Consider the following 25,033-nt stretch of genomic DNA (forward strand, 5'->3'; position numbering starts at 1 on the left):
TCCTTGGTGACCGATCATGCACCCCTTACCATCTCATTAAAACCTAATCACCCTTACCCCACTCAACACCAATATCCCATTCCGCAGCACGCTTTAAAAAGATTAAAGCCTGTTATCACTCGCTTGCTACAGCATGGCCTTTTAAAGCCTATAAACTCTCCTTACAATTCCCCCATTTTACCTGTCCTAAAACCAGACAAGCCTTACAAGTTAGTTCAGGATCTGCGCCTTATCAACCAAATTGTTTTGCCTATCCACCCCGTGGTGCCAAACCCATATACTCTCCTATCCTCAACACCTGCCTCTACAACCCATTATTCTGTTCTAGATCTCAGACACGCTTTCTTTACTATTCCTTTGCACCCTTAATCCCAGCGTCTCTTCACCTTCACTTGAACTGAGCCTGACACCCATCAAGCTCAGCAAATTACCTAGGCTGTACTGCCGCAAAGCTTCACAGACAGCCCCCATTACTTCAATCAAGCCCAAATTTCTTCCTCATCTGTTACCTATCTCGGCATAATTCTCATAAAAACACACGTGCTCTCCCTGCCAATCGTGTCCTACTGATCTCTCAAACCCCAGCACCTTCTACAAAACAACAACTCCTTTCCTTCCTAGACATGGTTAGCGTGGTCAGAATTCTTACACAAGAGCCAGGACCACACCCTATATAGCCTTTCTGTCCAAACAACTTGACCTTACTGTTTTAGCCTAGCCCTCATGTCTGCGTGCAGCGGCTGCCACTGCATTAATACTTTTAGAGGCCCTCAAAATCACAAACTATGCTCAACTCACTCTCCACAGTTCTCATAACTTCCAAAATCTATTTTCTTCCTCATACCTGACACGTATACTTTCTGCTTCCTGGCTTCTTCAGCTATACTCACTCTTTGTTGAGTCTCCCACAATTACCGTTGTTCCTGGCCCAGACTTCAATCCGGCCTCCCACATTATTCATGATACCACACCTGACCCCCATAACTGTATCTCTCTGATCCACCTGACATTCACCCCATTTCCCCAAATTTCCTTCTTTCCTGTTCCTCACTCTGATCACGCTTGATTTATTGATGGTGGTTCCACCAGGCCTAATGGCCACACACCAGCAAAGGCAGGTTATGCCACTAGCCCACCTCTTAGAACCTCTCATTTCCTTTCCATCGTGGAAATCTATCCTCAAGGAAATAACTTCTCAGTGTTCCATCTGCTATTCTACTACTCCTCAGGGATTATTCAGGCCCCCTTCCTTCCCTACACATCAAGCTCGAGGATTTGCCCCACCCAGGACTGGCAAATTAGCTTTACTCAACATGCCCTGAGTCAGATAACTAAAATACTTCTTAGTCTAGGTAGATACTTTCACTAGATAGGTAGAGGCCTTTCCTACAGGGTCTGAGAAGGCCACCGCAGTCATTTCTTCCCTTCTGTTAGACATAATTCCTCAGTTTAGCCTTCCCACCTCAATACAGTCTGATAACAGACGAGCCTTTATTAGTCAAATCAGCCAAGCAGTTTTTCAGGCTCTTAGTATTCAGTGAAACCTTTATATCCCTTACGGTCCTCCGTCTTCAAGAAAAGTAGAATGGACTAAAGGTCTTTTAAAAACACACCTCACCAAGCTCAGTCACCAACTTAAAAAGGACTGGACAATACTTTTACCACTTTCCCTTCTCAGAATTCAGGCCTGTCCTTGGAATGCTACAGGGTACAGCCCATTTAAGCTCCTGTATAGACGCTCCTTTTTATTAGGCCCCAGTCTCATTCCAGACACCAGACCAACTTAGATTGTGCCCCCAAAAATACTTGTCATCCCTATTATCTTCTGTCTAGTCATACTCCTATTCACTGTTCTCAACTACTCATACATGCCCTGCTCTTGTTTACACTGCCGGTTTACACTGTTTCTCCAAGCCATCACAGCTGATATCTCTTGGTGCTATCCCCAAACTGCCACTCTTAACTCTTGAAGTAAATAAATAATCTTTGCTGGCAGGACTATGCTGAATCTCCTTAGGCACTCTCTAATCAGATATCCTGATTCGTCCCAATTCTTAGACCTTTTATACCTGTTTTTCTCCTTCTGTTATTCCATTTAGTTTCTCAATTCATCCAAAACCGTATCCAGGCCATCACCAATCATTCTATACAATAAATGTTTCTTCTAACATCCCCACAATATCACCCCTTACCACAAGACCTCCCTTCAGCTTAATCTCTCCCACTCTAGGTTCCCACGCCGCCCCTAATCCCGCTTGAAGCAGCCCTGAGAAACGTCGCCCATTCTCTCTCCATATAACCCCCCAAAAATTTTCGCCACCCCAACACTTCAACACTATTTTGTTTTATTTTTCTTATTAATATAAGAAGGCAGGAATGTCAGGCCTCTGAGCCCAAGCCAAGCCATCGCATCCCCTGTGACTTGCACGTATACACCCAGATGGCCTGAAGTAACTGAAGAATCACAAAAGAAGTGAATATGCCCTGCCCCACCTTAACTGATGACATTCCACCACAAAAGAAGTGTAAATGGCCGGTCCTTGCCTTAAGTGATGACATTACCTTGTGAAAGTCCTTTCCCTGGCTCATCCTGGCTCAAAAAGCACCCCCACTGAGCACCTTGGGACCCCCACTCCTTCCTGCCAGAGAACAAACCCCCTTTGACTGTAATTTACCTACCCAAATCCTATAAAACGGCCCCACCCTTATCTCCCTTTGCTGACTCTCTTTTCGGACTCAGTCCGCCTGCACCCAGGTGAAATAAACAGCCATGTTGCTCACACAAAGCCTGTTTGGTGGTCTCTTCACACGGACACCCATGAAAAAAAGGAAGTTGCCAGGCTGTCTTGTAAAAGGATTATTTAGAAATTTGAGTAGTCTTAGTGTTATGTAGCTGTTTTAGGAAAAGCATTCTTTTTCCGTTAACAAATGTTTACAACCACCGTGATGTGAGAATTATTGAGGTTCATTGTGGGATTAACACGGGAACTCTATTTGAGCCACCACATGGATGGAGTAAATGCTTCAGGGTAGATGGGGTAAGTCACAGTATGTAACATGCTATGGACACTGAATGTTAATTCATTTACGTTCTCTGTTGTGCAACTGCAAAATTCCTATTGTTGGCCTACTTTCATTCTTTTATGTTTTGAGGCAGAGTTTCACTCTTGTTGCCCAGGCTGAAGTGCAATGGCATGACCTCAGCTCACTGAAACCTCTGCCTCCCCGGTTCAAGCGATTCTCCTGCTTCAGCATCCCAAGTAGCTGGGATTACAGGCACCTGCCACTATGCCTGACTAATTTTTGTATTTTTAGTTGAGACAGGGTTTCACCATGTTGGTCAGGCTGGTCTCCCACTCCTGACCTCAGGTGATCCACCCCCCTTGGCTTCCCAAAGTGCACCACGCCTGGCCTAGCCTACTTTTAAATATAGCATTTCTAAATAAATAATGAGACAAGTTTTTCTAATTATTATAATAGTCTTTTACAAGTGTACAGGCCTTCTAAAAATATAATTGGCCAAGGCGAGTGGATCACAAGGTCAGGAGATCAAGACATCCTGGTCAACCTGGTAAAACCCCGTCTCTACTAAAAATACAGAAATTAGCCAGGCATGGTGACAGGCTTTTGTAGTCCCAGCTACTCAGGAGGCTGAGGTAGGAGAATCGCTTGAACCCAGGAGGCAGAGGTTGCAGCGAGCCGAGATCATGCCGTTGCACTACAGCCTGGGCAACAAGAGCAAAACTCGGTCTCAAAAAAATAAAAAAGAAAGAAAGAAAGTGGCAGTGAGGTAGAGAAACAGCTGGATTGGTTACAGGCTGGCATTTGCCTTATTTGAACACAGTTTGAACACTTAGCAGTATATGAGTGGTTGAAGTATGGTCAAGACTCAGCTACTGTTATAGGTACAGACTCCTAAATTAAGTTTTCAATCTTGTCTACCTGTTAAGCTACCTTACAGTTTGTCCACAAGAACCCACATATAGAAGTACAGAGTCTTTCTTAGGCCATACTTAGTTTGCTTTTACAGAAGTGACAGCAGAGCTTTCAACACCTGTTTTCTTACACTGGGTGCCTGGATTCTGGGAAGACTCCAGGAGTAGGTGAGAAGGCCTTTTCAGTTTGTCAGAAGTTAGTAAATCACATAATTACTAAATTCCTTAAGATCGCGTCATCTGAAGGAATGGTGTCGTGTCTAAATGACTGTGCTTCTAAGGACAGCTGATTCACAGGTTGACAAGGTCAGAAAAAGTGGCTCTTGTTGAAAGTTATTTTTTCCTGCGATGTACATTTTTTTATGGTCTTTGGAATTAAAATGTGATGCTGATTGTCTCTGGGGAGTCTCGGAAGAGTAGAGTTTGCCACGGTATCACTTAGTGATTGTGGACATTCATTAAAAAGAGGCTGAGCCAACAGAAGAAAGATTGCAAATGTGCCCTTGTAAATGGGTTAGTAAACATTTCTTTTTTTTGCATAAGATACTGGGAGTGAATGGTATTTTTTCCACACCCATGGGTAGTAGTTATACATATAATCTATATTTCGTGACTGTGTATTATATGTAACTCTTTTTAAGTATATTGTGACATTACCTAGCATAGAAAGTAAATAGTATAATTCTAACTCTAAAATTAAATTTTAAAATGCAATACATGATATCTTACATTTTCTGTGAAATATGCCTTTTACAATTCACTGACCTTTAAGAAAAAGTAGTTAGCAAACAATTAACTGATGGTATCAGAATAATGCAATTTTTTTAATTCCAAAATTCTAAAAGCAAAATTTATTCAAGTAATAGTATAAAATATAAAATCATGATTAGTGGTAAGATAATGTCTGGGAATATGGTATTTATTTCTGGATTTTCATTCACATTGTACCTGATTCTTTTTTTTTCCTTAGTGAACTAATTTCAGAGTTGGAATAAACTGAATACTGCTATTTATATTAGCAGCTGTAAAGTTTTATTGTAGAATATATCTTGTACATTACATTAGCAAAATGGATGATTAAGAGGACTGACATTTCATTATCCTGTACTCAAACAGTGAAAGTAAAATAGAGGAAATTTGGGGAATATGTAATTGTTGTAGTTTGTAGCTGGCTGTCATAAAGTTTGTAAAATGACAGAGCTTGTCATCAGTGTCTTGCAGCTGATCTAACAAGGATGGGCGAAGAAAAAGGTACCTGAGCTTTACCATCTGTGTTGTTTCCTTGTTTGGTTGGTGATCCTTACTCACATCAATCCATTGATTTAAAAGAATAGGTTTTCATCTTTTGGACTAATTAAAGTATGGCAATATCTTTGATTAGCCATTTTAGAACCTTTCTGCAAGTACATTTCTAGTCTAGGTGTGGTGGCTCACACCTGTTCCAACATTTTGGGAGGCCAAGGCAGGCAGATTGCTTGAGACAAGTCTGAGCAATATGACAAGGCCCTGTGTCTACAAAAAATGAAGTGAGTCCAGCGTGGTGGTGTGACCCTGTAGTCAGCTACTCAGGAGGCTGAGGTGGGAGGATGGCTTGAGCCAGGTAGGTCAAAGCTACAGGGAGATGTGATTCCACCACCGCACTCCAGCCTGGGCAACAGAGGGAAACCCTATCTCTATTTTTTAAAAATTCTGATGTGATTTAATCTCTTTGTATAGATTTGACTTAAGAAGATTGAACATTCCATGTATATTCCTTTTCTTAAAGACTATCTAGAAGACTAATGAGTGATTTGACCAGATAGTTGAATCAGTGTTATGATAAAAAGAACCCTTTACTAAATTCTTGATCATGTTCTGAAGTTTTGCAAAAGCATAATCTGTATAGTGTAGATCTTTATTTCTTAGACTATTTAAAGATTAAAGATTTAATTTTTAGTAACATCTAGCATACTAGTGTGAAAGGAAAACATCTTGGGCCCCCAGAATCACTAAGCTAGAGGAGAAATTCAAGCTGGGAACTGCTCAGGGCAAACTTGCCTCCCATGCTATTCAAAGTCATCGCTCTGCTCACTGAGATAGATGCATATTCTGATTGCCTCCTTTAGAAAGCCTTATCAGAAACTCCAAAGAATACAATCATTTGTCTCTCACCTACCTGTGACCTGGAAGCCCTCTCCCTGCTTCAAGTTGTCCCTGTGTTTTTGGACAGAACCAATGTAGTTCTTACATATATTGATTGATGTCTCATGTCTCCCTAAAATATATAAAACCAAGCTGTGCCACGACTACCTTGTGTACATGTTGTCAGGACTTCCTGAGGCTGTGTCATGGGCATGTGTTCTCAACCTTGGCAAAATACGTTTTCTAAATTAATTGAGACCCGTCTCAAATTTTGGGGGTTCACATTTGGTAACCATGGAGGGATTCTGAATGGAGATGACCCTGACCTTTGGCAAATCTCCTATCAATGCTTGGTATCAGCATGAACTGACTTTATGACTCAAACCAATAGGAAAATTTGCTGAGGTCTGAGAGCACTGTCTCCAGAGAATCTCTGATCTTCCAAAATTTGGTCGAGATCTAAAGTTTATTTTGCTGTACAACTCCTCTTTTTTTGGAGTTTTACTTGCTTCCCACACAAGGAAGTCAAGGTTTTCACTTGCTTCCCACACAAGGAAGTCAAGGTTTTCCTGCTTCCTTAACGATGGAAGGCGGGTAACTCCTGTATGAAGTTTGAGCTTGCTTCCACAGGGAAGACGTGTTTGTTTGTATTTTTTCTCTGCTTCTAGGATTGTGAAGAGCAGTCTTCAGTCTGAGACCCATCCCTAGGTAAGTAACTGAACTGGAGTTTTGTCTTGGCTAAAGTTAAGATTAACAACCAGCTGGTCTTAATTTCTCCTTACCATTAGAGTGTTCAGTGATCATATTGTTGTTGGGTTTTTTGTTGTTGTTGTTTGTTCTGGTCTGAAGTTGTTTAAGGATCCTAATTCTAGTTTGGAGATGCATTCTAAAGGATCTTCTCTACTGCTCTTTCTCTCACATTTAATCTTAATTCAGTTTGTCTGTGTGCATTTGCATAAGGAACTGAACTGTTGTTTTCATATATTAATGAGAGACTGAATTTTCTCAGCTCCAAAGAGAAACAGCATTTACTCCTCCCAGCTGAAAGGTGCCCCTGGGTGATGGGGGACCTCGTGGGAGTGTCTAGGAGGTTGACCCCGCCATGACATGCCACAATCCTGCAGGTAAATCTCCAACAAAAATTAATTTTAAAAATGGCTCATAAGGACTGATCACCCACTGTTTTGAGCCCTCTCTGAGGTCACAGACCTCTAGAGAGAGAAACTGAAACATGTAAGATGGTGGAAATGATGTAGTGGTGACACACCGTGGAGTCCTGTGCACAGGCAGCACACATCAATCCACCACACAAAAACCCTAGGCCACAGCTCAGTTCCTCTTCTTAAGAAAAAAAAAAAAGCAGGAAACAATCTAAGAACGAGGAGAAAATAAGGAGAATGACCCCCTTTTGAGCACTCCATAGGTTTTATGGCACCTCTACTTGTGAAAGTTTATGTAAAATCGGAATAATATGGTCTTCGTGCACATTTACATCAAGGAAAAAGAGCCCTAAGGTTCGACCTGCAAACTATAGAGTTTCTAAGTCCTCTTTTTCTCTATTTTTTCTCTTTTCTGGCTTCTTTAAATCTGCTGCTGTTTTTCTATTAAGACAAAAACCACCATTTAGATCCAACAAGTTCTTTTTGCAAGCTGGTGAATTTGTATTTACCTCATGGCTAAAAGTTCTGAAGTAAAAGCTATAGGATCTTTGTGTGTGTGTGTGTGTGTGTGTGTGTGTGTGTGTGTGTGTACATTTAAAAGGCCCTTATGATTTCTATAATTTTATGTTTAATTGGCAATTAAATGTGTTTTAATTTCCCTTTAGCACACCACACTTTTACTCTCCATACCTTATAATGTAAATTTTGCTATTTGACTTTCACCTGAGTTACTTCCTTTAATATGCAATTTCAAGGCTATTTAGCTGACAACTGCCCAGGGTTGTGAAACAGGTTATCAAGAATCTGAAAGTCTAAGATAGGAAAAAAAAGGTTTTTATGAATCTATAAAATGTACTTCTATCGGCATGCCTAATATGTCTATGTATTTATGTGTTGTGTACACAATATTTCACTACTACTAATATATAAAAGAGTGCTTGTTAATTGGCTTAAAAATGAAATAAAAGTGCTGAAATCAGTTAGTAAAAAAAGACTAGTCAAATGCTTTTTCAAGTTTATGTAACTTAATTAAAATATTTAATAAGTAAGCTAGCTTTAAAATTATTGGCAAAGTAATATAAGAAATGTCTTAAGAATTGCCAGCATACATTTTTGTTTGCATTTATTAATCAAGCAATTTCATATTTATCCCTGCCAAATACTAAAAGGTGTCAAAATTTGGCATAGGGGTTACAAAACTATAAACCCAGCCCAAGACAGAATGATCTTTGCTTGTGTAATCCTTAATAAATAAGACATTGATATTGGTTTAATAAAAATAGCTACATCTTGGGGCCAGACGTGGTGGCTTATGCCTGTAATCCCAGCACTTTGGGAGGCCGAGGTGGGTGGATCACAAGGTCAGGAGATCGAGACCATCCTGGCTAACATGGTGAAACTCCGTCTCTACTAAAAGTGCAAAAAATTAGCCAGACGTAGTGGCGGGCACCTGTAGTGCCAGCTACTTGGGAGGCTGAGGCAGGAGAATGACGTGAACCCAGGAGGTGGAGTTTGCAGTGAGCCAAGATTGCACCACTGCACTCCAGCTTGGGCAACAGTGCAAGACTCTGTCTCAAAAAAAAAAAAAGTTACATCTTGAAAAATTTAGTAAAATTATCATAACTTCTAATCTTGTGGCTTTAGGCAGTCTAGTCCACACGCAGTAAGGAGGTTTGTTTTGGGAAAGGAAAAGAACTGTTAACATCTTTGTTTCAAAGCTAAACTATAAATTAAATTCCTCCCAAAGTCCAGGTATGAACAAGGACAGCTTGGAGGTTAGAAGCAAGATGGAGTCAGTTGGGTTATATTTTCTTCACTGTCTCAGTTATAATTTTGCAATGGCAGTTTCATAACTTTAAATCATGACTATTGAAGTTTCCATAAGTAATCTAGCTAAACAATTAAAGTAAATTATAATTATTTGTTTCTATTTGGGTAAATGTAATGTCATAAATACTTGTAGACAAACTTGTTATAATTTAGAATCTAAAATTTCATTATTTGGGTATTTTCCAACAAATATATATTGTAGGAAAGCATTCTTGCTTAAAAAAAAAAAGATACATCTCTTTTAAAAAGGTGAACAAGTTTTGTATAATTCAAAGCTCATTTAAATGTTACGTATAGGCCAGGCGCAGTGGCTCACGCCTGTAATCCTAGCACTTTGGGAGGCCGAGGCGGGCAGATCACCTGAGGTCGGGAGGTCAGTAAGAAAGCTTAAAGAGAAATAATTTTATATGAGAAAGAATCTTGTATGGTAAATTTAGTCCTAAAATAAAATGACTGGTTGTTTAAGAAGGAGGGATGTTCAGGACAAACTAGAAAGTCCAAGAATGTCATGAACAGTCAGTGTAAGTCACAATAAGAGGATTTATTAAAAAACAAACAAACAAGAACGTTTATATGGTCAGGCTGTCATATTGTTATTAAGTTTTGGCTTGCTTAGGAATAAACACTGAGATTTTAAAAAGATTTATTTTGAGACGGAGTCTCGCTGTGTTGCCTAGGCTGGAGTTCAGTGGCACAATCTCGGCTCACTGCAACCTCCGCCTCCCAGGTTCAAGTGATTCTTATGCCTCAGCCTCCTGAGTAGCTGGGACTACAGGTGCATGCCACCATACCCAGCTAATATTTTGGTTTTTTTAGTAGAGACAGGGTTTCATCATGTTAGCCAGGATGGTCTCAATTTCCTGACCTTGTGATCTGCCTGCCTCAGCTTCCCAAAGTGCTGTGATTACAGGCATGAGCCACCACGCCCGGCCAAAAAAATTTTTTTAATTAATGTTACCACATTCATACATTACAGGGCTTTGACTCTGGGTCTAAAAAGGACATCAAGTCCTACTAAATCTTTAACACTGACAGCAATTAGAGCCTCATCTTCAGGACCTATAGAAGATGCTAATCAAAATAAGCTGCATTTCTGAGACACAGGGCAAGAAATTAAAGCTATATAATACTCCTTAAGGCCCAAGGAGTATCACAGAAGAGGTGGGCATGTGAGATTGTAAGGGCTGATTTTGAAAGATAAAATAAGTTCAGTTTCTCTATAAATTAATCATTAATGTCAAAGACACACTGATGCAAGACTAGTATATGGGCCCCTCTGTCAGATTAACAAGGTTTTCTTGAAGCATTAACCAACTCCTTAATAAAGGTTATAAAAATTATAAAAGGCTTATGGAAGCTGAATCTTGTGGTCAAGATTAAGATTTTATAGATTGTTTATAAAATTTTGAAAAACAAATTTAATTGGCCTCATGCTATTTTTATTACAGCTTGTTCTTGGTAAATATTAAGTCTCCTCTCTCAAAGAATGAAGGTTTTCACCTTTTTTTGAAATCCTTGAGTTATCACTTTGGTTAAATGAATGACTTATTTTACAATGATCTGTGATCTTATTTTGTGATATCAAGTGTTTTAAACATTTGATATTTGACAAACTTTCCAAAATCAAATTATAAATTATGTCTTTTTCTGACCTAATTAATCATTTAAGATATTAGGTTCCCTGAAGTCCAAAAATGACATAATTTGGCTTATTTTGGTACAAAAATTATACAGGAAGCATTGTCAAATATGAAATGGTATTTGATTTTCTTTGGGCTGTATTTATATAAATATGTTATTGGTGCGTGTTCCAAAATTATGGGAAACTCCTATAATTCTGATATAACTTAGAGGACATTGTCAGTAATAATTATAATTATTATGTTAAGTTATTGTGTGCCACAGAGATAACAAATTTCCTTGTCAATTGTGTCTTTGATTATGGCTTCCCTAAAACTTTTTTTCATCCACAGACAATTGTCATCTTTTGGTCCTCTTTAGAAAGTGGTTCTATAATAAGCTATAGAACTCTGATAGGTGTTCTTTGTTTATTTTTTTCTTTGAGACAGAATCTCACTCTGTCACCCAGGCTAGAGTGCAGTGGTGCAATCTAGGTTCACTGCAACCTCTGCCTCCTGTGTTCAAGAGATTCTCCTGCCTCAGCCTCCCGAGTAGCGGGGATTACAAGTGCCCACGACCATGCTCGGCTAATTGTTGTATTTTTAGTAGAGACAGGGTTTTACCAAGTTGTCAGGCTGGTCTCCAACTCCTGACCCCAAGCAATCCACCTTCCTTCGGCCTCCCATAGTGCTGGGATTACAGGTGTGAGACACCACTCCCGGCCTCTAACAGGTGTTCTTAAATGTAGGTTTCTGATAACTTTGGAGGTTGTGACATTAGAACAGAGGGAAATAAACTTTCAGGACTTTTACGGAGAGCTGAAGTGTTCAGGAATATCAAGAAGAACAGGAGTTAACTGCATAAACTGAACTGATAGAAGACTAAAGTAACCGTTTCCACTTTTGCTTTAAATGTTGCTAATCCTTTGTTTTTTTAGAGTCTTGAAACTTTTCTTTTGAGATATTGACAGCTCTTAACAATTTAATGTACTCCTATGAACAAAATTAGAAGCATATTTGTTTCTCTTTACCTGATTTCTACAAAATCTGGAAACTATTTGTGAGTATTCTTAACTTATGACAATATGGTTATTTGTATAAATGCAAATAAGAATTTGTTTTCATTTGTAACAGGACACAATTGGAGAAACCGGTTATTTTACCAAGGCTTTGACTGGAATGGTGTGCTTTTCTTTAAGGAATCAAGCTTCCCTTATGGGGCCAATAAAGCCCTTGGTATTCCATGTTTTTGATACTATTTTGAAAGGCTTTAAAGACATTTTAATCTTCAAATGCTACATAACTTGTGTATGTGTATGTGCGCACATGAGCAGAGTCTCCATTGCTTGGAATTAGATAGATTATATCCCTTGGTGCCTCACCATTGAGCTCTACATGGCAGAGATCTTGCATATGTGACTGTGTATATTTTCAGCAACATAATAAGCATCCTCTAAATCTCATCCTAAAACAAATGCTTCATTGACAATAACGCATAGCTACCTTCTGGTCCTCTCCCTTCTTTTATTTATTTATTTATTTTCGAGATGAAGTCTCATTCTGTCACCCAGGCTGGAGTGCAGTGGTGCAATCTTGGCTCATTGCAACCTCCGCCTCCCAGGTTCCAGTGATTCTCCTGCCTCAGCCTCCTGAGTAGCTGGGATTACAGGCACATGCCACCACACCCACTAATTTTTGTATTTTTAGTAGAGATGGGGTTTCATGATGTTGGTCAGGCTGGTCTCAAACTCCTGACCTCAAGTGAGCCACCTTGGCCTCCCAAAGTGCTGGGATTACGGGTGTGAGCCACTGCACCTGGCCTTTATTTCCAAATTTTCTGCTGTGCTATTAAACATAAATTCATTCATAAGATGTATATTTTATAAATAGTAACTAGATGTGCATCTGATTTATACAGAGTATTTTTCCCTTTCAATTTTGAAGATTTTTTTGTGATATACCACGTATACTTTGAATTTTTATGTAGTCAACTCTGATAAATTTCTATTTATGCTTTTCTTTGCTGTTTTTGTTGCTACCAATGTGAAATTCTGATAGACACTAAACTACATTTTTTCCAGGTTTTACATCATTTCATTTTTTCATTGAATCAGCTCTAAATAGCTTAGCCACACACCTAGGGTGTGCTTAGTATTTTCTAGGCACTCAATCTCTGAATCCTCACAATGATACTAGGAATTGCTAACTCCTATTTGAGGCTTGAAGGGGTGAGTAGTCCAAGGTGGTGCAGCAAGTAAGCCATGAGGTGGAGATCTGAACCCAGATCTCATGTCTTAGTCACCACTCTAAATGTATAGTGGAGGCATAGCTCTCACATTTTTTTTTTCCGTAAACAGTTACACAATATTTCAGGAATATTTACTCAACTTATTATTTGAAATGTTTCTTTATTTTATTCTAAGTTTTATAATTACTAGAGTCTGGTTTAAACCAGTGTCTTCCTGTTCCATTAATTTTTCTTTTGAATTTTCTGCCAAAATTATATGCTATATTACTTTAATTATGATAGTTTCATTAAATGCTTTAATGACTGGTAGTATAATTTCTATTGATTACTCTTCCTTTTTCCCTAAATGTCTAGTCTCGTTTCACCTATTTATTCTTCCAAATGAAACTTTCTTGAGTCACTTTCCCAAGGTACAGGAAAAATTCCTTTGGGATTTTGATTCCCAAACTTGATTTGTTAAAAAACTAAGTTCTTCTGATTCAGAAGCATGGAATGCCTCTCTTTTTATTCAGGTCTTCTTTGTGAATCTCTAAGTGAAGTTGTGTCATTTTCCTCCAACAGGTGTTGTGTATTACCAGTGCACAGAGGAGACTGGTTTTCACATCAGCATTGTATATAACCACAGTGCATTCTTATTCTCAGTTCAGTCTCTATATTGTCACAAGTGTTTATTGAGTACCTAATATGTGCAGGCACATATCACTGGGAATACAGTGGTGAACAAGACAAAGTTCCTGCTCCCATGGAGTTGACATTCTAGATGGAGACATAGTCTGTATAGACAGAAACCACTCACTGTGTCCTCATCGGGTGGCCCTATGACTGCATATGGTTTCTTCCCACCAAAGTTCATGCTGCAATTTGACCCCCAACATGATGATGTGCGGAGGTGGGAGCTAGTGGGAGGTGTTTTGGTCATGGGAATGGATCCTCCATGATGTCTTGGTACTGTACTCCTGGCAATGAGTTCTTGCTCTGGAGAGACTGGATTAGTTCTCACGAGTCTGTATTTCTTCCCATAAGAGTGAGTTGTCGTAATGACATGATGCCCCTTGGGTTTTGACTCTTTGCACTTATTTGCTTCCACTTTGACCTTCCTTGCCATGTTAGGACAATACACAAGAGCTCTCACCAGAAGCCAGAACTGTGCCCTTGAACTTCCCAGTCTGCAGAATTGTGAGCTAAATAAACCTGTCTTCCTTATCAATTACCCAGTCTGAGGTATTGTCATAGCAATACAAAATGGACTTGGACAGATGGTGATAAATACTATGAAGAAAAACAAAAATAAAGTAGTTGTTGCAGGCTAAATAATGACCTCACCAAAGAAATTCACATCCTAATCCCTGAAACCCATGAATAATATGTGATAAAAAAAAAAATGGGGTAGACTTTATGGGATTCAGCTAAGATTCTTGAGATGGCCAGACTCTCCTGGATGATCTGGGTGGGCCCCCAATGCAATCACTTGTGTCTCAGGAAAGGGAGGCTGAGAGAGACACAGCACAGGTAGAGGAGAGGGCCATGTGAAGAGGGAGCAGAAAGAGATGTGAACATTCTTGTGTTGAAGACTGCATGATGTGGCCACAAGCCAAGAAATGCCAGGTGCTTCCAAAATCTGGAGAAGGCAAGGAGGGTCCACAAGTCTGGAGGGAGTGTGGCCCTGGAGACTCCTTGATTTCAGCCCAGTGCCTTTGATTTCAGACTTCCTACCTCAAGAACTGAAAGAAATTTCTGTTTGTTTAAGTCATCAAGTTTGTGGTGATTTGCTACAATAGGCCCAGGAGACTGATAAGGCAGGCATGGGATTAGCAAGTAGGGTGGGGCTGGGTGGCTCTTTTAGATGCTGTGGTCAAGGAAGTCCTTGCTGCTCTAACCTAAAGTCTGAGAGTGATGGGAGAGTTAGCAACATCCATCTATCTGTAGCAAGAACAAGAAAAGTAGGAGGGGAAGGCCGGATAAGGTCTGCCTCTCACTGCTCCATCCAACGTATGGGAAACTTACAGGTTGTTAGAGTAGCATGGGACAAGGACCTGGGAATGGGAGCCTGTGTTCTAGCCCAGGCTCCATCACAAACAGTCAGTTACTCCACTTCGAGCACCAGCTTCTGCATCTGTGGAATGGGTTTGTCTTCCCTGACCCCATTACTTGGCAGAGATCATAGGCACCACCGCAGGCCTGCTGGGAGCATGCCTGGGATGTGCCATGTGCTGGTTGCTTCTGGTCTAGGACCTACACCCACCTCCTTGACATGCTACTGCCATCTGTGCCTCACACGGCCCTCACCCATGTCTGTCAACATTCCCTAAGCCCACTGTGCTGCCTGAACAGGTAAGACCTCTCTGTGGGGACCGGCGTTGTCCACTGTGGCTTCTGACTCTCACCACCCTCCATGCAGCCACAGGCACCCCCAACTCCACCTAAGCTTCCCGAGGGGCTGTGTCCTCACCCTGGTTCCTCGCCCTTCCCAGGATCCAGCTGCTCTCGAGTCCCCTGCGCGCCCCTCCTCCATCCACACACCCTCTTCCCTCTCCCCAGCCTCCACTCACTCACTCCACAGAATCAGGCTGAGCGCCTCCCTCATAGCAACAGGAGGAAATAGGAAGTGAAACAAACAGGACTTCTGTGCCCAGGTGGCCGGCAGCCATGGGGAGGCTGGAGGGGGATGGAGGGGGACACACATGGGATCCCCTGTGGCCTCCGTGGTGCATCGTCACACTCTGAGAAGTGAGACAGGAGGTCCACAGGGAAGGCCACGTTCAGAAGGGAGCACCGGGGCATCAGGCAGACCCGGCCTTCAGTTGGGGAGGCTGCCTGGGGAAGTGAAGCTGCAGCAGGGACCAGGCGCCGAGTAGGCATTTGTGAGGCCCTAGGAGGACGGAGCCGGGCCCCTTGGGGCTCAAGGGACCCCGCCTAGTGATGGGGCTCAAAATGAGGGGAGCAGAGGGCAGGAAAGACCTGGAGGGGGCAGAGCCCGGTAAGAAGGCTGGACCGGAGCATCCATTGTTTGACTCTGAAGAGATAATGCAGGCTGCAGTGAGGACACTGGATGGAAGGGGGTTTGGGGACATTTCAGCTAAAACATCTACTCGGCTGTTCGCAGCCCACATTTGGGAAATGAGAGGACAAGGATGAGTCTGAGTCCTAGACTGAGAATGAACAGGGTGACTGGTCATGCCAGCCTTGGAAACTGGGACATCTGGGAAGACCCCATGAAGCTTGGGAGTGACATCGTCTTACAACGTGGAGCATCTTCAAGATGACTTTGAGGGTCTCCATGGAGAGGAGGAGAGGCAGTTGGATTTATGGGTCTGGCAGCTCACAGAACCTTGAGCTGGTGATCAAATTTGGAGGGCTTGGGCTCAAAAGGATCAACTGTTAGGAACTGCTATTGCTCCAAAGCCCTCCTGCCCCAGCCCACACAGCTTCACTGGGAGGCAGAACCAGCTGGCGGCAGCTCCGACCCCTGCAGTCCAGGACCCTGGTCTCTGCTGTCCACCTCAGTGAGAAATGACCAATTCTTTACAGAGTTGCATGGGACAACATTGCCTCCCCATCCAGCCTGGCCTCGGGCAGCCTTCTACCCCCCTTGTCCTCTCAAGGTGAGGGACTCTTCTCCACACCTCTGCAGGACTGCATGAGCCACCACCAGCACAGTGATGCCTGTGGCATGCGGGCCTTCTGCCCCCTCTCAATGGCAAGTCTAATAAAGCCAAGTTCAGGGACCACAACCATGATGTGTACAGAGTGGTCACCATTGCTGAACTCCCTTAACCACCTGGAAGGCAGGCGTCCCGGCCCAGGCTTAATTGCATTCTCTAATGAATGAAGACAGGATTCTGGGTTTTGTTGCTGTTGTTGTTTTTGAGACATAGTCTTGCTCTGTTGCCCAGGCTAGAGTGCAGTGGTGTGATCTCTGCTCACTGCAACATCTGCCTCCTGGGTTCAAACTATTCTCCTGCCTCAGCCTCCCAAGTAGCTGGGATTATAGGCGCCCACCACCACACCCGGCTAATTTTTGGTATTTTTAGTAGAGATGGGGTTTCACCTTGTTGGCCAGGCTCGTCTCGAACTCCTGACCTCAGGTGATCCACTCACCTTGGCCTCCCAAAGTACTGGGATTACAGGCGTGAGCCACCCTGCCCAGCCATGTTGTTTTTTTAGAGACAGCATCTCACTTTGTCACCTAGGCTGGAGTCCCGTGGTGCAATCATAGCCCAGCACGATACCTTGCTAATTTTTAAATATTTTGTAGAGACAGGGCCCTACTATGTTGCCCAGACTGGTCTTGAGTGCCTGGCCTCAGGCAATCCTCCCACCTTGGCCTCCCAAGTGTTGGAATTACAGGTGTGAGCCACCACACCCAGCCTATTTACTTATATGCATTTAAAAACTTACAGCATGGTTTACTGCTCCCATTCTCACCATGTGATGTGCCTGCTTCCCCTTTGCCTTCCTTCATGATTGGAGGCTTTCTGAGGCCTCCCAAGAAGCAGACACCACTATGCTTCCTATACAGCCTGCAGAACTGTGAGTCAATTAAATATCTTTTCTTATAAATTACCCAGACTCAAGTATTTCTTCACAGCAATGCAAGAATGGCCTAATACAGGGCTATTTCTCTCTGTTTTTTTTTTTTGAGTCAAGTTAGACTTTTAGTTCACTTAACCTAGAACTTTTATGCTAACGCAGATGAAGTAAGAATTCTGTAGGTTTCTTATCTGTTTCACTTCTAGGACCACCATGATCAACTAACAAATGCCGTAGGTTTGTGGAATCACAGTTTTGACTGCTGCTTTGCCTCTGCTGTTCCTTATAGTAACTGTGCCCGTCTTGCCTTTGGTGGTTGAGTGCATCCACTTGGCCTCTGTCACCCTGGAATCCAGTGACTCCTATTGCACATAGTTTTCCCAATTCAGTTACCACATCTCTTATGTAAGTTCTGGCCTATATAGAAAAGCTATCACAGAGCTCTTCAAGAATGCTGGGGATCTCTGCACATGTTTTTTCTTCTTTTTTTACTTTAGAGACAGAGTCTTGCTCTGCTGCCCCGGCTGGAGTGCAGTGGTGCAATCATAGCTCACTGTAATTTGGAACTCCTGGGCTCAAGCCATCCTCCCACATTAGCCTCCCAAGTAGCTGGGACTACTGGCACATGCCATCACACCCAGCTACTTTTTTTTAGAGATGGGGTCTCACTATGCTGCCCAGGCTGGTCTCAAAGTCCTGACCTCAAGCAGTCCTCCCACCTTGGCCTCCAAAAGCACTGGGATTACAGGCATGAGCCTCCACACCTGGCTACCAATTTATTTCTCACAGTCATGAAAGGTGTGTCTTTTGGACTCTTTCAGGGTGGGAGAGTAGGTCTTAGTTGACACATCTATTCTAACATTCCAGTCTCCGTAAGCCTTTTTATACTTTTTTTTAATTTTTAACTTTTGTGGGTACATGGTAGGTGTATATGTTTATGGGGTACATGAGATATTTTGATTCAGGCATGCAATGTGTAATAGTCACATAAGGGTAAATGAGGTATCCACAACCTCAAGCATTTATTCTTTGTATTACAAACACTCCAGTTATACTCTTTTAGTTATTTTATCTTATTATTTTATTAGTATTATTATTATTATTTTGAGACAGAGTTTTACTCTTGTTCCTCAGGCTGTAGTACAATGGCACGATCTCGGCTCACTGCAACCTCTGCCTCCTGGGTTCAAGTGATTCTCCGGCCTCAGCCTCCTGAGTAGTTGGGATTACAGGTGCCCACCATCATGCCTGGCTAATTTTTTTGTATTTTTAGTAGAGATAGGGTTTCACCATGTTGGCCAGGCTGGTCTTGCACTCCTGACCTCAGGAGATCAATCTGTCTCACCCTCTCAAAGTGCTGGGATTACAGGTGTGAGCCACCGTGCCTGGCCTCTTTTAGTTATTTTAAAATATACAAGTTATCATTGATTGTAGTCACCCTGTTGTGCTATCAAATACTAGATCTTATTCATTCTACCTAACTGTAGTTTTGTACCCAGTAACCATCCCTACTTCCCCTTCCCAACACTACCCTCTCAACCTCTGTAATCATCATTCTACTCTCTATCTTCGTGAATTCAATTGTTTTAAGTTTTAGTGCTCATAAGTAAGTGAGAACATGGGAAGTTTGTTTTCTGTGCCTGGTTTATTTCACTTAACATAATGACCCCCCAGACTCCAGCCATGTTGTTGCAAATGACAGAATCTCATGTTTTTGTGGCTGAACTGTACTCCATTGTGTATATGTACCACATTTTCTTTATCCATTCATCTGTTGATGGACACAGGTTACTTCCAAATCTTGCCTATTGTGAACAGTGCTGCAATAAACATGGAGTGCGGATATCTCTTTAATATACTGACTTCCTTCATTTTGGGTATATCTCTAGCAGCAGGACTGCTGAATCATATGATACCTCTATTGTTAGTTTTTTGAGGAACCTCCAATTGTATTAATTTACATGCCCATCAACAGCATACAAACATTCCCTTTTCTCCACATCATCACCAGAATTTGCTGTTGCCTTTTGGATAAGTCATTTTAACTTGAGTGAGATGATATCTCATTGTGGTTTTGATGTGCACTTCTCTGATGATCAGTGCTGGTGAGTACCTTTTCCTATACCTGATTGCCATTGATATGTCTTGTTTTAAGAAATGTCTATTCAGATGTATTGTTCATTTTTTATTCTGATTATTAGATTTTTTCCCATAGAGTTGCTTGAGCTCCTTATCTAGTCTGGTTATTAACTGCTTATCTGATCAGTAGTTTGCAAATATTTTATCCCATTCTGTGGGTTATCTCTTCACTTTGTTGATTGTTTCCTTTGCTGTGCAGAAGCTTTTTAGCTAGATGTGATCCCATTTTTCCATGTTTGTTTTGGTCGCCTGTGCTTGTTGGTACCTAAGCTTTTGAATCCCTTCCTCTACATTTGATCAAGGCAGATCTGTCATTTCTAACTTGCTCACTGTGCCCCGTCTTTCAGCCCTTGTCCTGTGGGTTTCCTGCTTTTGTTCTTTTATCAACATTTTAGGGGTTTGGGGAGGAACAGAGATGAACATATATGCTCCATCCACCATGTTTAAAAGAGACATCTGTCTGTGCCAGTTGTAGTCCCCAAAGGCAAGATATGAAGTCACTTCTGAGAAGGCTGATCTGCAGGGGTGCACAGACCAGACTTGGGGGATTCTTCTCTTTCTCTCTCTCCTTATCTCACACCCGTCATTACAAATCCTATCAGTTCTGCTTTCAGAACATGACCAGACTCTGGGCACTTTTCGTCTCCATTGCTCCCACCCTAGCCCAGGCCACCTGGATTCGTCTCTCACCAGGATTTCTGCAGTTGCCTCTGATACCACCTTCTTGCTTTGCCTTCACTGATCTATTCTCAGCACATCAACCAGAGAGATTTCTCTTAAAAATCAGATCATGTGACGGCTCAACTGAAACCCTCCAATGGCTTCAAATTTCACTCAAAAATGTATTTCAGGTCCTTACCATGAGCTATAGGGTCAACACAATCCACACCCACTACTTCCCAACACTGGCTTCCTGCTTTTCTCAGCCTCAGCCATCCCAGCCTCCTTTGTGCTTCTTACATGCACTAAGCACATGCCAACCCCAGGATCTTTGCACTTGCTACTGTTTCCCCAGACGTTCCCATGGCCATTTAATCACTTGCTTCAGTGTTCAGCTGAAATGTCATCTTCTCAGAGAGGCCTCCCCTGCTTGTGTATCCACTTGTGGCCTTAGCACACTCATCATGGTTCTTGATTTCTAAGCACCCTCTTTTGACCTCAGCCCTACTACAACAAACAATTAGTTCTGTTTGTTGGTTTTCTCACTTCTACTTTGGACCCAGGAAGACTTCCAGGCCAGCACCTCTCAAACTGAAATGTGTATATAAACCAGAAAGACTTAGAACAGCACTTCTCACAGTATAATGTGCAAATTGCTTGGGGCTCTCATTAGTTTCAGATTCTGATTCCACAGGCTGGGGACATGGCCTGCAATTCTACCTCTTTGACATGTGCCCAGGAGGTGCAGATGCTGCTGACCCCGGCTGTTACAGGCTGATTTGTGTCCCCCAACATTTATATGTTGGAGTCCGGCCACCCAGTACCTCAAAAGGTGGCTGTATTTGGAGATAGGGACTTTGAAGAAGAAGTAATTAAGTTAAAATGGGATCATTAGGATAGGCCCCGATGCAATACAATAGGTGTCCCTATACGAACAGGAAATTTAGACACAGAGTCACACATAGGGAAGACCATGTGAAGACACCTCAGAAGAAGCCAAACCTTCCAACACCTTAGTCTCAGATTTCCAGCCTCCAAAATTGTGAGAAAATTAATTTCTGTCGTTTCACTCAGACTGCGGTACTTTGTTATGTCAAACCTAGCAAACCAATACTAATTTTGGTACTGAGAAGTGTGGTGCTGCTGTAACAAATACCTGAAAATGTGGAAGTCACTTTTGAACTGGGCAATGGGCAGAGGAAAGAAGAGTTTTGAGGCACCTGATAGAAAAGACTAGATTGTCTTGATAAGATTATTGGTAGAAATATGGACATTAAGGGGCATTCTGGTGAGAGATCATAAAGAAAAAAGGAGAGTTGGGCTGGGCGCAGTGGCTCACGCCTATAATCCCAGCACTTTGGGAGGCTGAAGTGGGTGGATCACAAGGTTAGGAGTTCGAGACCAGCCTGAACAACATGGTGAAACCCCGTCTCTACTAAAAATTTAAAAATTAGCCAGGTGTGGTGGCACGCACCTGTAGTCCCAGCTACTCAGGAGGCTAAGGCAGGAGAATCACTTGAACTCAGGAGGCAAAGGTTGCAGTGAGCCAAGATCGCGTCACTGCACTCCAGCCTGGATGACAGAGCGAGACTCTGTCTCAAAAATAAATAAATAAAATAAAATAATATATAGTTATCCTACACACACTTGTCACAATAACAAGCACCCTCTGACACAGGCAAACACTGACAACACATACTCACACTCACATGTACATAATTTTCAAATGACCATAAACATTCTTACCACAAACAAAATTTGTTATTGGAGTAATTGATACTCTGACCATACATACACTCAAACCACCCACACAGACTGCACTTTATCTGAGAGCCCATATTGACCATACACCCTCTAAGCACACATACACATTAACCAAACATACCAACACACAAATTACAAAATGGCCATGCACCCTGTGGCCACACAAAATTGCTGAACACAAACACACACATTCACACAGAAACTATGGCTGTGCATGTGTGCTTTAATTATGGTCATTCCACACTCCAGCATCAACATGGATGTCAAGAGTTGGAAGGGGGAGACATGGCACAGGGACAGAATGTGGGGGCGGGTTAGGCTACTCTTCCATCAAGCAAATCTGATACCCACAAAGCTCATTGCTACATTTACTTAAAATACAAGAAACAGGAAAGGCCAAGGGGGTATATAATAGTATTTTTAAGTGTCTTATGCAAACCCATCACCAAAAATCAAAATGTAAAAGACAATGATATTTTAATAGGCTTTGAAGAGAATGCATTAAAGACTCAGTGTAGTTCTAAACAGTGAAAGGCAAGATATTCTGGCTGGAAGAATACTCACTATTGCTATTGAAATTCTAGGCAAAATATTCATTGGTTTAAAACAGTTCAGGGTAAAATATTTCATTTTCATTGAGTAGCCTTGCATTGGGCAGCAATAAAGAAAGCTGGACAAAATATAGACACACACACACACACACACACACACACACACACACACACACACACACACATACACATAACTGAAGGACCAGAGATCTCAATCTCATGCAGACAGAGCTTGAGGGGCTACAATCCCTGACAAAAGGGAAGGAAGCACAAGAATGAAGCAACAGGTTCACATGGGCTTTTCCCCTAAGGACTTTACGCATTTGCACAGCGAGAGCAGAGAATCCAAGCAGGAAAAGGTAGGTTCTCTGAGTTAAGGAAAAATATACAAAAACTCAGTTTAAACAAATGACTATGACTTCTTCTAATCAGATGTAGTAAATGTATAACAACAATGAAAAATCAATTTAATAAGCACCATATGTTTTAAAACACCAAAGGAATGTGGAGGCAAACAGGACTAGATCACATAAGATGTGAGAGAGAGAGAAAGAGAGAGGGAGAGAGAGATAGTGTGTGTGTGTGTGTGTGTGTGTGTGTGTGTGTGTGTATGCGTGTGCATGTGTGCATGTGTTAAAGGAACTGGCTGGCCCAAATGTGGAGGTTGGGAAGTCCCAAATCTACAAGGAAGTCTGGCAGGCTGGAGACCTAGAGAAGAGTTGCCATTCAAGTCTGAATGGAGTTTTCTAGCAGAATTGCCTCTTCTTCATTGGAAGTCAGTATTTTTCTTAAAGACTTCCAATGACTGGACGAGACCCACTGACATTATGAAAGGCAATCTGTATTACTCAAAGTCTACTGATGTAAATGTTAATCCTATCCAAAATATACCTTCAAAGAAATATCTAGAATAGTGTTTGACCAAATATCTGAGTACCATGACTACTCAAGTTAACACATAAAATTATAGTGTTGTTCAAGTTTTCTATTTTCTTATTTCTCTTGTATCTGGTTGTTCTATTTGTTATTGAAAGAGGGATATTGAAGTCTCTTGATATTACTGTGGAACAATTTCTCCCTCTATTCTGTCAATGTTTGCTTCATAGATTTAGGAATTCTGGTGGTTGGTGCACATATGTTTGTAATTGTTATAACTTGATAAATTGACACTTTAATATGTAATGTAATTTTTGTGTCTTGTAACAATTTTTGATTTAAAGTCTATTTTGTCTCATCTTAATATAGCCACCCCTGCTCTCTTTTTTTTTTTTTTTTGGTTACTGTTTGCACGAGGTATCTTTTTGCATCCTTTCACTTTCAATGTAGGTGTGTCCTTAGATCTGAAGTGCTTCTCTTGTAGACCGAATCTATTTGGATCACATATTTTTATCCATTCTGCCAATCTGTAACTTTTGATTGGGTAGTTTAATTCATTTACATTTATTTTTATTTTTTATTATTTATTAATTTATTCTGAGACAGAGTCTTACTCTGTCACCTAGGCTGGAGTGCAGTGGCACAATCTCTTAGTTATGTACATGTCATCTCCAGAATTTTTTGTTCATTTTTACAATTTTTCTCTTTGTTGATATCTTTACTTTTAATATATCATTTTTTCTTATTTCTTTTAGTTCTATTCCCATGTTGTCATTTAGCTCTTTCAGCATATTTAAGACAAGTTTTTAAAAGTCTTTGTTTAATAAGTCTGGTGCTTGTGTTTTCTCATGTATGAAGATCCACAGAAACAACTTTCAATACTTTCAATTGTTGCTTCTAGTATTTACCTATATGTTTCTAAATAATTTGTTATCTTGCTAGATTGACTTATTTATTGTATACATTATCTATTGACATCTGTTGAGTATTTGAGGTTTAATTTCTCTTTCTTTATGCTCATGTTTACTTCCTCCTCCTCTCATGTTTTCAATGTAATTCTATTATAATTGGAGTTTTAAATGGTAGTTCATGTTTACATTATCATGATTATGTAAATACTGTTTGTTGCTGAACACAGAATTCTCATGGAGGAGCTTCAGTCAATGTCCCTCTTCCCCATAGGGGAAAAGTTTTCGCTTCTGTTACTCATACCTTTAAGTGCATCATTTGTTTATCCTTTGAAGTGAAGTTGTAATGCCTTACCAGTTTCCTCATAATGATGAAATAAATAAAATCTGTAGATTATGTTCATTTTATATCTGTATGAGAGTCATGATTTTATCTTGTTTTGAAAATAGTTCTTTTACAGGTGCCCCTGGCTGATTAGAACATCATATCCAAAGAAATGTGGAACAGAAAAACACAAATACATTTTTAAAAGATTTTGTGTCACAGGCGTTTAAAAATTAAAAATATATATAATACACAGTTTACCATTTTAACTATTTTGGGTGACATTAAGTGCATTTGTATTGTGCAACTATCACTACTGTCCATCTCCAAAAGTTTTTTATTATCTCGAAGTGAAATTCTCTACCGT

The 25,033-nt window shown here is 41.1% G+C and overlaps 4 annotated features.

The window, feature by feature from the left end:
* Positions 1 to 530: an enhancer, noted in NCBI's record as "NANOG-H3K27ac hESC enhancer chr9:96112805-96113334 (GRCh37/hg19 assembly coordinates)". NCBI's record gives its function as "activates a minimal SCP1, AML or CMV promoter by ChIP-STARR-seq in naive H9 embryonic stem cells {active_cell/tissue: H9 hESC(naive)}" and the evidence as "EXISTENCE:reporter gene assay evidence [ECO:0000049][PMID:30033119]".
* Positions 2,121 to 2,650: an enhancer, noted in NCBI's record as "OCT4-NANOG-H3K27ac hESC enhancer chr9:96114925-96115454 (GRCh37/hg19 assembly coordinates)". NCBI's record gives its function as "activates a minimal SCP1, AML or CMV promoter by ChIP-STARR-seq in naive and primed H9 embryonic stem cells {active_cell/tissue: H9 hESC(naive and primed)}" and the evidence as "EXISTENCE:reporter gene assay evidence [ECO:0000049][PMID:30033119]".
* Positions 2,651 to 3,180: an enhancer, noted in NCBI's record as "OCT4-NANOG-H3K27ac hESC enhancer chr9:96115455-96115984 (GRCh37/hg19 assembly coordinates)". NCBI's record gives its function as "activates a minimal SCP1, AML or CMV promoter by ChIP-STARR-seq in naive H9 embryonic stem cells {active_cell/tissue: H9 hESC(naive)}" and the evidence as "EXISTENCE:reporter gene assay evidence [ECO:0000049][PMID:30033119]".
* Positions 14,096 to 14,265: an enhancer, noted in NCBI's record as "experimental_109877 CRE fragment used in MPRA reporter constructs". NCBI's record gives its function as "activates a minimal promoter by MPRAs in K562 erythroleukemia cells, with activity observed for both the introgressed and non-introgressed 9:96126985 variant alleles {active_cell/tissue: K562}" and the evidence as "EXISTENCE:reporter gene assay evidence [ECO:0000049][PMID:34662402]".

Source organism: Homo sapiens, chromosome 9 (genome assembly GCF_000001405.40).
Source record: "Homo sapiens chromosome 9, GRCh38.p14 Primary Assembly".
Lineage (NCBI taxonomy): Eukaryota > Metazoa > Chordata > Mammalia > Primates > Hominidae > Homo > Homo sapiens.